The sequence below is a fragment of the Homo sapiens genome, chromosome 3 (assembly GCF_000001405.40).
Source record: "Homo sapiens chromosome 3, GRCh38.p14 Primary Assembly".
NCBI lineage: Eukaryota > Metazoa > Chordata > Mammalia > Primates > Hominidae > Homo > Homo sapiens.
This window is the reverse complement of record NC_000003.12, coordinates 175,084,366-175,100,133: the sequence shown is the minus strand read 5'-3', so window position 1 is coordinate 175,100,133 and position 15,768 is coordinate 175,084,366. Positions and strand designations below refer to the sequence as shown.

The 15,768-nt window shown below is 34.1% G+C and overlaps 1 protein-coding gene and 1 long non-coding RNA gene across 23 annotated transcripts in view; one reads left to right on the top strand and one right to left on the bottom strand.

Annotated features, from left to right (window-relative positions):
* NAALADL2 (N-acetylated alpha-linked acidic dipeptidase like 2) overlaps positions 1–15,768 on the bottom strand; it is a 1,369,567-nt gene that overhangs the window by 710,415 nt on the left and 643,384 nt on the right. For 21 of the 22 annotated variants that reach the window (XM_017006077.3, XM_047447876.1, XM_017006075.3 and 18 more), the window contains one exon: positions 2,843–3,344. In XM_017006077.3, the coding sequence (XP_016861566.1) occupies positions 2,843–3,336 (494 nt within the window). In that variant the 5' untranslated portion in view covers positions 3,337–3,344. Of the gene's footprint in view, positions 1–2,842; positions 3,345–15,768 lie in introns of those variants that run through there. The other variant, XM_017006083.2, reaches the window with a different exon arrangement.
* The window catches only part of NAALADL2-AS3 (NAALADL2 antisense RNA 3), a 35,931-nt gene that overhangs the window by 15,109 nt on the left and 5,054 nt on the right, over positions 1–15,768 (top strand). The gene's annotated exons all lie outside the window — the stretch shown is intronic.

Sequence of the window (15,768 nt, the reverse complement as noted above, 5' to 3'; positions counted from 1 at the left end):
AGTACCTGGTTTTGATATAAGTTGCCACTTATTTAAAATCAGAGCATAGGCTATCCTCTGAGTAATCATAATATAATTATATAACTTAAAATAATTATATCATATAATATAAATACTATGTTCATAATATTTTGTATAAATTGTAATATAATATGAAAAATCTAAATGATAAAATTTTAAAATACATAATATAATTGATGAATTAAACACAGATCTGTTTCTCATTTATTCATGCATTCATTTCATTCTTTAGAAAATAATTACTCAATGTCTATTAGATGATGGCACTTTAATGGTGGACAAACAAGTTTAGTCCATTCTCTTATAGAGTCTGCAGTCTATTATAAAAATAATATATTTTGTATTGCACAACTTTTAGGCTATTTGATAAGAACTGACATAGGTTTAGAGCATGTCCAGGAAAAGAGAACCAATAGAAAAGAGATACAGCAATTGAACAAAATAGTGGGCCAGTAAGAGCACAAAATTGTTAATAAATTCATGGAAAGTAATAGCAGGGATCTGCTACTACTAGGAGGTACGGAATTAAGGCTGAGATGGCTCAGTAAACACAGACTCATAATGACATGTGGTTAGGATGACAATTGAGGGAGAAGATATTTTTGGATGAGGAGCTGTTATGTTTATGAAGATATTTGTACCAAAAATACAATTGTTTTGAAGAAGAAAGTATGTTATCTCAATAAAGAAAACAAATATGGCTACTTCATGGACCCATAATTGTTAATCTGTGTCTAACTACAGAGTACTAGCTGGGAGTGTAATTGCTAGTGGTTATGCTTTCAGAGCTAGCTTTGACATACATGTTACTTTGTTGATTTTGGAGTGTAAGACTGGAATGTAATCCTTACCATCATGCAGCTTCCATTCTGAGAGAAATAATGAATATTTTAATGTAATTATTATTTATTTTAAATTTTATAATCAGTTGCCTATTTGCAAAGCAGACATAAGCCAGCTATTAAAGATGACTACGGTGCTGAAAAAAGAATTAAAACAAGTAAGACAAAGAAAGCCAAAGTTATATAAGGAGGGAAAATAAATATGTAGCTTAGTTTGTAAATAAAATGCATGTTATGAAGTTCCTATAAACTTACAAATACAAATTTGACTATAAACTTACTAAGAGTCAAAGTAAAAAAGGAAGCAGACTAGGTTATGGTATTCATTGTGTCAATAAATTAAAAACTAACCAGATGCTCAGGGAAAAAAAAAAAAACACATAATTGTCCTTACCATTAAAAAGAAATTAATGCTATGGATCCTTTTCCAGAAGACATTTTGTAATAGAACAGATGTCCATAATGAAGTTAAAGTAAAAACAGTTAAACAGTTTTAAAGAGTTCTTCTATTTTCTTGGTTTGTTTTCTAATAACATCCTGAGCCAGTTAGATTTATCTGCAACTTTCCCTTTTTCTGCTCCAGCCTATATTGCAGGCAGCGGATCCCTTCAGAATGAGTTTCTCAGGTTGTAAGTCAGCAGTCTCTTGCTGGTTTCAGCTAACAGGACAACTGCTAGGACACTTAGTGGCAGGAGTAAAAGAGAAGCTGAGGTATTTCCCTCTCTCTGTCTTCAGTGGTGTCTCCAGCTGAGGTTATGCCCCCCTATCTGCCCTTGTGTGCACAGACATTCCAGCCCCATCACTTTCTCCCTCTAGACTAGGTTTAGTAATGGCTCCATTTTGTGAATTTCTGGGCTACCTGAGTATCCCCTGATTGGCTTATCAGTTCCTGATCACTGATGGAAGCATTTCTCTACTTTAAATATTCAGGAAGTTTTCCAACATCTTCACTGGGTCCTGAATGATACAATCATTCATTATAAGGTAACAGCATATCTTTTAGCTCAATGTAAACAATTTTACATTGGGAAGTATCATGAAAAGTGTTGTTATCCACATATTAAATGTCCAGGGATGGTTATACAAAAGGGAACAGCAGACACAGAAGGGTATAGGAAACACATTCCTGTCAGTCACTGAGGCCTAATCTTCAGGAAGAGGATTAGAGGATTAGAATCCACCAACACCAATACACCTGGTATTTCAGCACATGAATTAAGTGACACATCTTCAGTGGACATGCTTCCCTGAGAAAATTCCCGGAAATGCACACCTGCCAACATCTTGGCTGTAACAAATCAATGTAACCCAGAAAGAATATTCTGGAGAAGCAGTACCTCACTACTCTCTCTGCCTACAAACAACGTACATGATTCACCTAGGACTATTCTTATTCTGCAAATATAGAAGATATATGCAAATACCTCATCTTGCATATCTAGTTCTTCACTTCACTAAATATGTAAACTAGAAAACCTTTTACAACTCAACATGTATGCTAATAAAATAACAAAAAGCTTTTCCAAGTTATCCACTAGTTATATGACATCGGTGAAACTTTTGAAGAGTTACTTCAGCCCATAAAGCAGGTTTATTTTATTCTGATGTCATTAAAGTTTTTAATCATATGGCTAATGTCCTAGTTTTTATTACCTGTATATCTGGCAATCTTTGCATCCCAATTTGGCCTAACAAGGCTCACCAAGAGGGAGAAAATACAGTGGCTGGAGAATTTTAGTCTCCATAGTAGTTATGATTCTTACTAGTAACTAATAAAACTGCATCACAAATTTATATTGCAGTACCATAAATCTGAAAATGTGCGCTCCCCTCTTTGAAGTTTCTATTCTTGTTGTGGTGATATGTTTCTCAGCTTGCAACACTGACGTGAACCATGAAAAATCATCAGTTCAATACCCCCTGTGAGACATTTTTCCCAAGAAATGCATTCAAACAACATCTGTTTCTTCTTCACCTACCTGAAAGACTTCTTAATATCTTCTGCCTGGATTGTCTTGAGAATCTCTTGATATAACTGAGGATCAACTGTTCCTGAAGATGGAGCATCTGAAGGGCAATTTGTATGTACATAATAACCTATCAAAATCCCAAAAATAAATAAAATGGTGGCTGTGCAAAGTATTTTTAAGACGTGGCAAAAGTTGCAGCGATTGCTCTTTGGTGCAGATCGTGTATAATGGGTAATGTAGTCAGATTCTTCTTGAAGTCTCTGGAACCTTCCTTTGGGTGAAGTTGCTGGTTGAATGGAATCAAGATTGAGGTCTATAGTCTCTGAATGCCCTAGGTTCTGATTCTCAGCACCGTCTAGCTGGAATTGGTCAAAACCAGACTCCTCTAGTTCCTTCTCCATGTCCCACTCTAAGTCAAGGGCAGTGGCTTGAAGGTCATCATTGTCTAAGTACTGTGAGTGTCCTGGAGCTCTTTGATCTGCATGGACCTTCTGATAGGCCATCTTTTTACCTGTGAAAATAAGAAAAATATATTTTAATAAAATAAACACACAATTAAAAAAACTAACAAAGTGAAAACAAAACAGTAAGCCATATTGAGTGTTTAATGATTATAATACAGGGAAATAAATTCTCCCTATAGAAACTCATATTTTATTTAATTAATCTTATAATTTTCTGTTGATGTTACCATAGGAAAGGAAGACAAAAGAAAAATGAAAGTAGAAGGTACTTAGTGGGAAAGCTATGAGAAAACAAAATTACACACACACACACACACACACACACACACACACACACACACGCCCCATTAATCTTTGAAGCTCAGGAGAATAACAACAGTCATGAATGTACAATTACATTGAAGGATGATGCAATGCAGAAGGCAAAATTAAACCTTCATGGTTACCAAATCACTTTTAAAAATTAAAGGCAAAAGTAATAAAGCTGCGATTTGGTAAGTTAAAGGGAAAAAATAATAAAAACCCTGGAATGATTACATTGCCAGAGCTTGTCTTAAAAACACAAATTCATTATAAAAATAGGCAGAACAACTAAATGAAGTATGAATTCTACAAGAAGCAAAATCTGTTATGTTACAGATTCTTAAGTTACCAAAAAGATTACACAACTTTAAGAGTATGAGAGAGGACCAAGATGTCCCAAGAAATTAGTGACATGAATTGGCCTGGCTCGGTGAATTTTAAATAAAAGTCTGGGATGGCATCAATCCAAAGAGGAAAGCCTTTTGCCAGCCTAGGAGAGTTTGGTTTCATAACCTTGCTACAGGAGTGGCAGATGGAGGTTCTTCTCCCCTGCACAGCTTTGGATGACAGCTTGTTGTATCCTGCCAAGTGGTATTAGGAAAACTGGGCTAATTAACTGCAAGTGGTCTTAAGTCTGTATTCAGTAAACCACTGGTGTATTATGGCTGCAGATTAAGAGTATTTATACTTAAATTTTCTGTGTATTAGATTTGTCACCCCAGCTGGATCTTAGATCCCTCACTATGTTTTATGATTTTTCTGTGTGTCCCACTGTGGTGGGCAAAGAACACAGCTCAACTGATAACTGATAAGCTAATTGCCTTAGGAATCGTGGTAGACAAGTAAATTCCTATGAAAAAGATAAAACAAGGATTTCACAAAGGGAGTGGCATTATGCACAGAATTATGGCCATACATGTCTCCAATCTTGGCTAGCTGAGGCCCATATAATTAAAATTTCCTAAATTTTTAAGAAAATTCAAATATAACTAAATATTAAATTTTATAAAATAAAAACTGTAATTCTGACTAGAATTTTCATATGCTGCCCTAAAATCTAGGAATCATTCTTACCTAGCATTGACTCAATAAAGATGATTATCTAATGCATGTCAGGCAGAGATAGGTAATGAAGACAGAAATAAATAGGACCTTATTCCACAAATAGCGACCCATCAAATCAGAGAGACAATGGACAAACAAACAAAAAAGTCAGATAAAATATGCAAAGTGTCAGGGAAACTCAGGGGTGATTGATTCTAGCAGAAAATACGAGAAATAATTATACAAAAAAGTGACCTCTAAGTTGCTTTTGCAAGAGAGGAGGGTGTGAGAGGAGGATACCCAGGAAGGGGAAAATTTACAAACACAAAGAGAGAATAAGAATGCCCCATTTGAAAAACCTAGAGTGGTACTCTATGGCTGAGGATAGCGCACATGGGCCAAAGATGCTGAGGAAAAAACTAGGAAAAGGTGACATTGGTCAAAAAACTTAACTTCCCTACGACACAGGGTCTTCGTATGTGAAATGGGTATAATAATAATATAAACTTTGTAGTGTTGTCATCAGGATGCATTCACATAGTAAACCTAAAGCATCTATTGAGTAGTGGATAGTCTGTATGAGTTAGAAGGAACATTTCTATTCTTAGAGGAGATAGAACTTTCAAGGATTGGTAGGGAGTTAATAATTATATAATTATGCAAGACATTGTGGAGATGGAGAGGAGGATGTATAATATTCACACACACACACACACACACACACACACACACTATAGTGTCTGGTGCTTTTTTTTTAACATTTAGTCTATGTGTAGAGATTAAAATATAAAAATCACCATGTTATACTAAATATTCTCATGGCTCTACATTGCTTTTCTTTTTCCCTCCCTCCCTCCATCTCTTCTTGTTTGGTCTTGTTTCCCAAATGATTCAAGGAAGTGTAGCATTTGAATTCTGTCTTTGGTCAAATCAAGACAAGCAGAGAAAGGAAGTAACGTATGACGTTAATGATAGCTATTCAGATAGGTTAGGTGACAGCTGATTAACTTATAGAGGAAGAAACTGAATCTCACTGGGTTTAAAGAATCTGTCAAAAGAAAATACTAGAGGATAGAAAAAAGTCTGAAGAAAGTAGAATAAAGAATCTCTAGACACTTTAGAAACCAATTTATTTTAATGTGCTTTATAAACTACAATTTCCTAGCACCAGTCAATTTTTTTTTCTCTTTGGCCTAAACATCAGTAAATTGCTGTAACCTTGAAATGATATTATATTTACTTCTTTAACTGTTCAGCTTATGCATTCCTGATTAATTTACTCAGACATTTTTTCCATGCAGTTCTCTAGATTTTTTTCTCCCATTTTAATGAATCAGAGTCTCTCTCTCTAAAGGTTTTTTTTTAAAAAACATTGAATCGTAGAGCTTGGTTTATGCTCAAAAAAGACTTGACACATGGGAGTTACTACAGAAATGTGAGATCTCTAATTCTGACCTCTAATACAAACATTCAAAGTCACCTCTCTATAAATCATTTAAAAGCCAACTGCAATGGTGAGGCAGAGTTTTCATCTCTAGCCTGACAATACGCATTCCATCACATGTACATCAGCAATTTAACGGTCTTCAAACATCAGACAGAGCCATCAATTAGAATGTAATGCAGATACACATATTAACTCCTCACTATGATGGATATCTGCCTGACACCCTTACTACCACTTTTGGATTCATTACACATTATTACATTTTCACTAAATTCTATCTTCCAGCAGAGTCACATCTGGGATAAAGGTAGATGAAGTCACTTGGTGTAACAAACTCCAAAGTATTTCAGGGAAATTACTACGGAAATGAGTATGTAATGACATATATGATAAAGCATTTTAATCACTAACTTGGTAAAATCAATTATATATGTCTTATATATTTTATATATCAAATACATGTAAATATAGTATATATAAATGTATTATATACATATATAAAATTATTAACTATTTCTATAAAATTATTTAGCTTAAAAATAGTATAGACATTTTGCAAAAATAAACATAAATCTCTGCCCTGATAGTTTTGTTTGCTTCACTTAAAACATATATATATATATATAAAAAAATAAAATGAACTCAACAAAAAAAGAAACTATCAAATAAATAAAACTTTAGTAACATTCAGCTTTGAGATAGCATAAATTATTCTATGGTTCCCATCAAGAATGTAGCTGTCTTAAAAACACCTCTGCCCTGTGAGACAAAAACATATCACGTTTCTTTTTATCAGAAGCTTCAAATTCCCTAGTAACATGAAAATTTTATATTTAAAGACAAATATTCAGCAAAATCAGCATGTCTTACACATAATCACATAATAATGCCATTCAATTTTTTATTACTGATGCAGATGATTTGGTTAGTTTGTATTGTCATGTTATTTTAAGATTACCCCATGTGAGTGTTAAAAGTACATGTAGTAGATTTTATAATCTGCATGAATAATTATCTAAAAGAGATATACTTTAGTATAGAGGAATTTATAGAAACTTGTGACATTTCTACGGATGGAAATATCTGTAACACCCTTACATGTTATATTGTGCCACATGGTCTGTTTTATAAAATGCAATTATTATGAAAAGTGTAATATATTTTCCATATTTTCAACAGATCTTATTCACTTAGGTGACATCTCTTTCCATCCAGTCCTACAACCAAAGTCCAGTTTTTAAAATTCAACATACTAAGACATTTATCTTTTACATACACTTAACCCTCTATTATAAAAATAAAACAGATACAAGTTGAACTGAATGGTATTTTTCTGGACTGTGACAGACTTAGATTAATAATAATGAATATCCATCTATATTCAACATATGATAGTTTAAAATAAACTGATTCTTCTGAATGCTATTTCACAAATACTGGCTTAAACAAAGTAAATTATATGGAAATAAAGATAAGTATGGAAATAAAATGAAAATTTAATATGTAAAATATAATCTCTGGTTGCTGCAGACCTAGCCTAACACAGTGTCTGGCAAATATTTTAGATAATACAGATTAGACAAAAGTATTTTTTAAATGTTACATATTACTTATGCCACTTACGAATATGATCACAGCAGTATTTCTTTCTTGTTCAGCAGTCATAATGAGAGAATTTATTACATGAATGCTCTGACCTTGTAAATCTCTAAATGAGTGGACTTCATAGTGAGGCTATCTGGTTCAAATCCTGGCTTTGCTATGTAATTTAAGCCAGACACTTAATACTTATGCTTAATTTTATGCATAAAATTATGCATAATACTTATGCTTAAATACTTAAAATTTATGCTTAAATTTCACATTTGTCAAACAGAAATAATAACAGTACCACATTTTTGAAGTTATTATGAAGAGTAAATGAGATAAATTATTTAATGTGCTCAAAACATAGTCTAACACATTAGCGATACACTAATAATAATAATTGCAGTCATTCACTATTTTTTTCCACGAATTCTATAGAGCTAAGAAAATAGAAATATTCGGAGCTTACAAGTTTAAAATACATGGTTAACTAAATTAACCTATGACCTGAGACCTCAGGCTTTAATAACAAAGAACTGGAGATGTTGAGAAATAAAGCTGTGTACCAAATGCCTTTGAAAATGGGAAGCATCTTGTTAATCATTAGCTATGGTTCAGATATATAAAAGAGAAGTTTGGCTAACATTTATATAAAATTCATTATTACATTTGACTATATCTTATTACAGCGTGATTTTTGGTCTATTTACTCAAAGAACAACAGAGCTTTTCCATCGTAAAGAATTCTGTTTAATATTCCAGGAATTGGTGATGTGTAATCGTAATTCTGAGTTACAAATGTTTGTTGTAGAACACCATGTTTATCAAAGAAGTTTGACTTGATTCATTGACTGTAATGTTACTGATAATATTTTAACTCAAACAGTAGAAAAGATTGTACAGATCTTATTAGAATTAAGAACACATATAAAGGCTTTCCTACTTGTAAAAGTTATTTTACAAGTAAAATAAATGAATGACTGTAGCAGATTAGCTTTAAAACGTAAGGCAGAATCTCAATTTCCTATGACAATCCATGATTAAATCTTTATTGTAAAATGATAAAAATATTCATATAGTGTTTCCTGAAGCTTTCAATGTCAAATCATTTGCTGGTTTGAGTGGATTGATTTGAGGCAAAGGCATTTCTTAGAAATGTCAGGGCATCATCAAAAGACATTCATTATGCATCTTTGTGGAGTATTGCTTTAGGTACTGCAACAGTGAACTACATAGTACCCATAGGAATTTTTAAATCTAAGTTTAAGAATATTCTTTATAGGCAAAATCATTTGACATAAATTTTTCAGTATAAACCTACTTTATACAAATAAAGTCCATGTTTGTGGAATAAATTTTTGTTGTTGAAAGCTTTAATGTTATCACCTTTGAGAGCAAGGCAAAAAATAAAACTATAAAAATAGTAATTCAGAAGACTCTGTTTCCTGACTTAATTCTTCAGTATAATGATATTTTTTTTTTCCATTTGTGGTTTTAGTGAAATGGTCTTGGCAACTGCTATAGTATCTGTAAATGCATCAAGAATTCTTTATTTAATTGCAATTTTGTACATCAACCACATAAAAGAAATAATTATTTGTTGCTCATGCTTCACTAATAGATTAAATAGGATATATAAACTAAAGGAAATTATTATTTGTGCTTTATTTTTAGAAAAATAAATTAGTCAGTGCCTACTCTAAAATGAGTAGTACACTGAATTTAGGCATAGTGGATAATCAAGTTGGATAGCATAAACTAAAACTTCACCCTGAAGCCTGAGTTATGTTGATCACTAAATGACATGTAAAAGGTATGCTTATAGAATGTCAAATTAATGAGCTATAGATTGCAAAATGTAGTCAAAGCCATTTGAAAAAAAAAAAAAATCATTGGTGAAATCCAGTCAGTTCGTGTAAATTTGTTTTAGATCACTTGCATATGCATGAGCACCTGCTAGTTCCCCGAGTAGGCCAACCTTTGGGGCCCTGTGTGCAACTGCAATTTGTGTAACACACCCTAAATGGATGGTTAGTTGGGCCCACCTGAGTTCCTATATTTATGGTAAAGTTTTTAAATATCAGAATTATATAATTCAATTCAGGATTTGGCAAGCAGAAGAGCTGATTAGTATGAACCAAAGCAATAAATTTTATGGGTGTCCTGAACTGGTAGTGTGAACACTTGGTATTATTTAGGATATCTACCACATAAGTTTAAGTCTCACTAATATCACAAAACTCTTTTTCTCAGGGGTGTGTAAATAATTCCTGTTCCTGCCATGGGCTCCTTTTTTCTTGGTCCTTTTTGTTGTCCAATTCCACCTCCACCTAGATTCCAGAGTATCTTTTCCTGCTTGTTTCTAGAAGTATTTACTGTACTTACTTCTATCAAATTTACATACTTTCTACCTTCAGAGTGTAGGAAGTGGCTTACACTAGAAACACACATACATGAGATAAATACAGTCACAAACCTACAAAATAAAAAAAGAGTGGAGGAGAAAAAATTTTAATATTCAGGCTAAAAGAAAGCCACTGTAATAGAGTTTTAATGTAGTTCTGAGCTTCACTATAGGCATAGCAAAGAGGGTTGTCTACAGGGTCTTCTTGAGTTCCATCAGCATTTGCCTGATCTCAGTTGTTAATATATAAGGCTGTCAGTCTTAGCTGAAGGGTTTGTTTTTAATCTTATTTTTTTTCTGTTATCTTTTTCTGCAGTTGCAGATTTCTGTATTGAGAATATGCTCTATCTAGTCAGAGAAATCTATTAATGTCTTTTTTATCTTTTGCACTTAGATTTTGATGTACAGAGTGACAATATCCCCGTGATGTATCATCCAAAATTATATGCTAATTCACAATTCACTGAACTCTTAAAATGAGCCAAGAATTACTATAAAGTTAGGTCTTTACCTCCATTATGTCATTTAATGAAACAATCCTATGTTAAGTGCTATTATTATCCCCGTTTTATAGATGAGGTTATCTGAGGCTCAGCAATTATTTTCCCAAGTTCTCACAGCTAGTCAGTAGAAGAGCTGGCATGTTAAATCTCAAAACCTACTCTTTTAAATATTAAACATCCAGGCTTTCTAAGAGTTCCCAGAGTTAGCATGATGTTAGCAAATGCATCTTATTGGCTTATTAATCCCTGGTTATGGTACCAAAGTGACACTAAGCACCAGGAGTCTCCAGGGTCCTTCAATCTTAATGGTCCTATGTGGATCCTCAGATCTCCGGATCTGCTCTGACTATATTCAGGACCTGACAGATCTTTTTATTTTCCCTCCACAGCACTCTGGCAGGCTATGTTTCCTGGCACTGGGGTTTTGAATGAGGAAGAATTGCTTCCAAGCACAGTGCCCTGAGGAAAAGACCACAACCTCTACTTTATTGTCTCTTCTTAACAACATTTACAATTTTTTTTTTCTCCTGCTGTTGAGGGACAAAGAGCAAAGCAACTCTGCTAAGAACGTGACAGTTACAGTTCACATTCAACCTGCTGCCGACCTGTTTTCAGATATTAAAACCCTTTGGCTCATCCTGTCCACTCCCTACTATGTGTAGTTTACACTGGAAAAAGAAGGCTTCAAAGTGTGTCAAGAGTTAACACCTCAAGACAATCACCACTTGGCTCTTTGAGAGCTATCTGCCAGGAGGAGCCTCATAGCTTGATAGATACACTGCAATTTTTCATCTTTTCAGCCAGGGTGAATTTTGCTTTTTGACTATGGCTTTTGGATTTCCAAGAACAGAGAGTTGAAGCTTGTATCTACACAAGGCTACTAAAGCACTCTATTTGTCAGATGTTTCAAAGGTACTTTATTGGTTTAATTTTTAAATATCTTTACTTTCAAAAAGTAACAGGTTTCTACAAACTAGAAGTGCTTTATTCTAAACTTATATTCCTCTGTTTCCTAAAATCATAACACACAAAGACTATTTAAGGCCCACAGTGGTAATTCAGTACATCTAGCATCTGCACTTTTTATTTTCCGAAATAGCTTTTCTCATACTTGTTCTTTTAGGAAGCAGTGTTAATATATCATGATACTGTGGTTAAGTCGTGGGAAAGAAGGAGGCAGCTCAGAGAAACACATTTGCACAGTATGTCTATGTTCATTTAAAATTCTGTTAGTAACAAAATTATGTTAACCTCCCAAATCTATATTGGGTAAATTCTGAAAATCTATTCTTTAAGGACCCAAGAGTAAGATCCAAATCTAAAATTTTAGTATTCAGCTTACACACTGTTAGGCTACAATCTAAAGAAAATTAAAATTGGTAATTTAACCCAAAATACTACCATTATACGATTCAGTTCTAGATTAACTGCATGGTGTGTTCCTTATAAACTAAAGATCATATATATTAATTTTATATCTAAAAAATAGTTTAAGTGAATTATTATATTTTCCTATGTAGTAGGAATACAGTAATGGAAAGAAAACCAAGAATTGTGAAGTTCATTCATTACTAAGAAAGTATAAAACTTAACTTGCAATTAACTGATGACAAAGTCAAGATTTTTTTTTTTTTTTTAGTATTTATTGATCATTCTTGGGTGTTTCTCGCAGAGGGGGATTTGGCAGGGTCATAGGACAATAGTGGAGGGAAGGTCAGCAGATAAACATGTGAACAAGGGTCTCTGGTTTTCCTAGGCAGAGGACCCTGCGGCCTTTTGCAGTGTTTGTGTCCCTGGGTACTTGAGATTAGGGAGTGGTGATGACTCTTAATGAGCATGCTGCCTTCAAGCATCTGTTTAACAAAGCACATCTTGCACCGCCCTTAATCCATTTAACCCTGAGTGGACACAGCACATGTTTCAGAGAGCACGGGGTTGGGAGTAAGGTTATAGATTAACAGCATCCCAAGGCAGAAGAATTTTTCTTAGTACAGAACAAAATGGAGTCTCCTATGTCTACTTCTTTCTACACAGGCACCGTAACAATCTGATTTCTCTTTCTTTTCCCCACATTTCCCCCTTTTTCTATTCGACAAAACCGCCATCGTCATCATGGCCCGTTCTCAATGAGCCGTTGGGTACACCTCCCAGACGGGGTGGCGGCCGGGCAGAGGCGCTCCTCACTTCCCAGACGGGGCGGCCGTGCAGAGGCGCCCCCAACCTCCTTCCCGGAAGGGGCAGCTGCCAGGGCGGGGGCTGCCCCCCACCTCCCTCCCGGGCAGGGCAGCTGGCCGGGCAGGGGCTGCCCCCCACCTTCCTCAAAGTCAAGATTAAACTACTTTTCAACTTTTCAATAATTATCTAAGCAGCATACGAAAAGGGAGAAACAAATTGTGCAAGATTTTGCTATTCTTTCTTATTTCTAACAAGTCACATCCATTAATATACCTATGTCTCAAGATAAACAAGGATAGGTTTTTATTTTAATATTTTACATTAATATTTTTTCTAGGCCTCCCATTAATATAAAAAAATAGAATTTTATCTGAAAAAAGTAACATAATTATTCTTTCAATAATACAAAATTCAAGTTTTTTCTGTAAGTAAACTTTATGTATGATAGTACTAATTATTGTTAGCATCTTTAATAAAAATAGATGTTTAGTTAAAAAGAAAGGATGATAAATAATCTAGCAATAAGCTATATCTGTATGACAGCTGGACATTGAGAGGTTAATCTTTATTACAAATTTATAGACATGTCTACTAATAGTTTTGGGTAAGTTCAAGCAACTAAACAATTTACTAAAGACTATAATGAGCAATTCTTATGTCATTTATATTTTATTTATGAAGAGGAATATAAAAAATGAAAGACCTCCAACGGCACATAAAAGTAATGCTGATATGAAACTAAATGTCAGGCAAAAGGCATGAAAATGTAAGAGCCGCAAAGAAATTAAATATAAAACATTTAACAGAACTTTTATATAATTGACATCTTTGAAAAGTCATTTATTATAATATTGTATGCAAAATTTTTAGAATTCATCTAACCTTTAATTTTAAAATGTCAAATATTATTACTTTATCAACATGAATTTTAGCTTCTTTTCCCGTTTCTTTTTTTTTGTTTCTGTAATGCTCCCTCTATTTTTAAATTTATATATGTTTTCCTCCCTTCAGCCTTTCTCATTATTTCATTTTTACCTTTCTATTCTTACAAGTTTCACTGTTGATATCTAAGGCATCCATTTTAAAATAATAAAATAACTGACCATAAAAAGTTCATTTCATTCTTTCCTATGTGTTGAGAATGATATATTGTAAACTATAAAGAACCAGTGGATGTTTTCTTAGAAATGACTGTCAAAACAAAGACTATGTTTTCCTCTATCATTCCAAATATATCAGATCTTTAGTTTTCAAACTGATAGTAAAGCTTGACTTATCCTTAACCTGCTGTTTTGGAGTCATAGTCTCTGACACTCTATGAAAAACGAAAGACTCTTTTCCCTAATGCTTTCACAAATACTCCCTTCAACTATTGCAACTGGTGAGACTTTCCATTCCAATCATCCTTTACAATTATAACCTGTCTATTACCCCCAAATAAAATATCTATATCTTCTGAGATGGAGTCTCACTCTGTCACCAGGCTGGAGTGCAGTGGCACGATCTCTGCTTATTGCAACCTCTGCCTCCTGGGTTCAAGTGATTCTCCTGCCTCAGCCTCCCGAGTAGCTGGGACTACAGGCACATGCCACCATGCCCAGCTAATTTTTGTATTTTTAGTAGAGACAGGGTTTCACCATGTTGGCCAGGATGGTCTCGATCTCTTGACCTCATGATCTGCTAGGCCTCCCAAAGTGCTGGGATTACAGGCGTGAGCCACCGCGACTGGCAAAAATATCTATATCTTAACCACATGTCTTAGGAACCAAAATGTATCCGTTGTCTTCTCTCTCTTTCCTTATTTTTATAATCCTGCAAAGGGTTTAAAAATAAAGTTACTCAGGTCTCTTTGTTTCCTGAGTAATTTATAACACTTGAGAGCCCCCATAATGGAAATAACTTGGTTTCTGCAGAAAAAAGGAGCATAACCTTTAAAGATGAAGAAAACAAAAATTATGATAACAATAAAAATAGGAACATGCACTGCAACACAAGTTATAAGCAGTAATGACCTTAACTAGTTTCACTACGGTAAAGAGTATAGTATTAACAGGAAAAACAGCACACAATTATTTAGCACTCTATGCCCTCTATTTATATTAAGTAAGTTAACATCAGAACGACACCATGAAGTTACTATTAAGAGACAGAGTTGAAGTAACTTGCCCTCAATCATGCAAGTTTCGAACCCAAGGCCGTGTGGTTATGGAATCTGTGTTCTTAACCACTCTGCCATAATGACAGGAAGGAATCCCATGAAGGCAAATTGGGAATTCCACCAAAATAAAATACACAGGAGAACATAACTCAACTTCCCCAAAATCAAGCCCTAACAAAATTTTGTAGTATGACCTTTTCCCATAGGCTCCATCAGTGTATAGCGCCCTTGGAGTCTTTTGGAGAAAAAGTAGGGAGAAGATATGAACTCACACATTCATACAAACATACAGTCTCTATACTCTGTCCTCACGTACTGCTAGTAGTTCCCCCAAACACATTTTGCATCCAACCACATGGCTACCAACTGCCTATGTTTGTGATTTTTAATTACCTTTAAATTTTTTCTCAATTGACTTTTTCATTTTGGTTCCACCTCCAAGAATTATACCTTATTCATATTTTTATTGCCTGTAGTCTTATGATAATTCTTTGACCACAGAAATGTTTGACTAAATGCGTAACTTTGAAAAACCCCAAATAACTCAATAATCTCCTCACATTTATATCTATGCTCTTTTAGGAATACATATATACCTTAAGAGAAATCATTTAATTTAAATGTGATGGTTCTTAAGCAGATTGATAGTGAGACATTTATATGCTGAGGTGTCTTATGCAGACTGTAATTAAGGCATGAATAACTTACAAAGAAGGAATTCTTATAGCCCTGAGTACCAAGAAATTAAACTACTTTGTTGGAGAGACCATATGGAGAGGCCCTGAGACCACGAGGAGAAGCAGCAGAGCTAGACACCCAAACTAAAGTTCCAGGCATATGAATGAAGCTA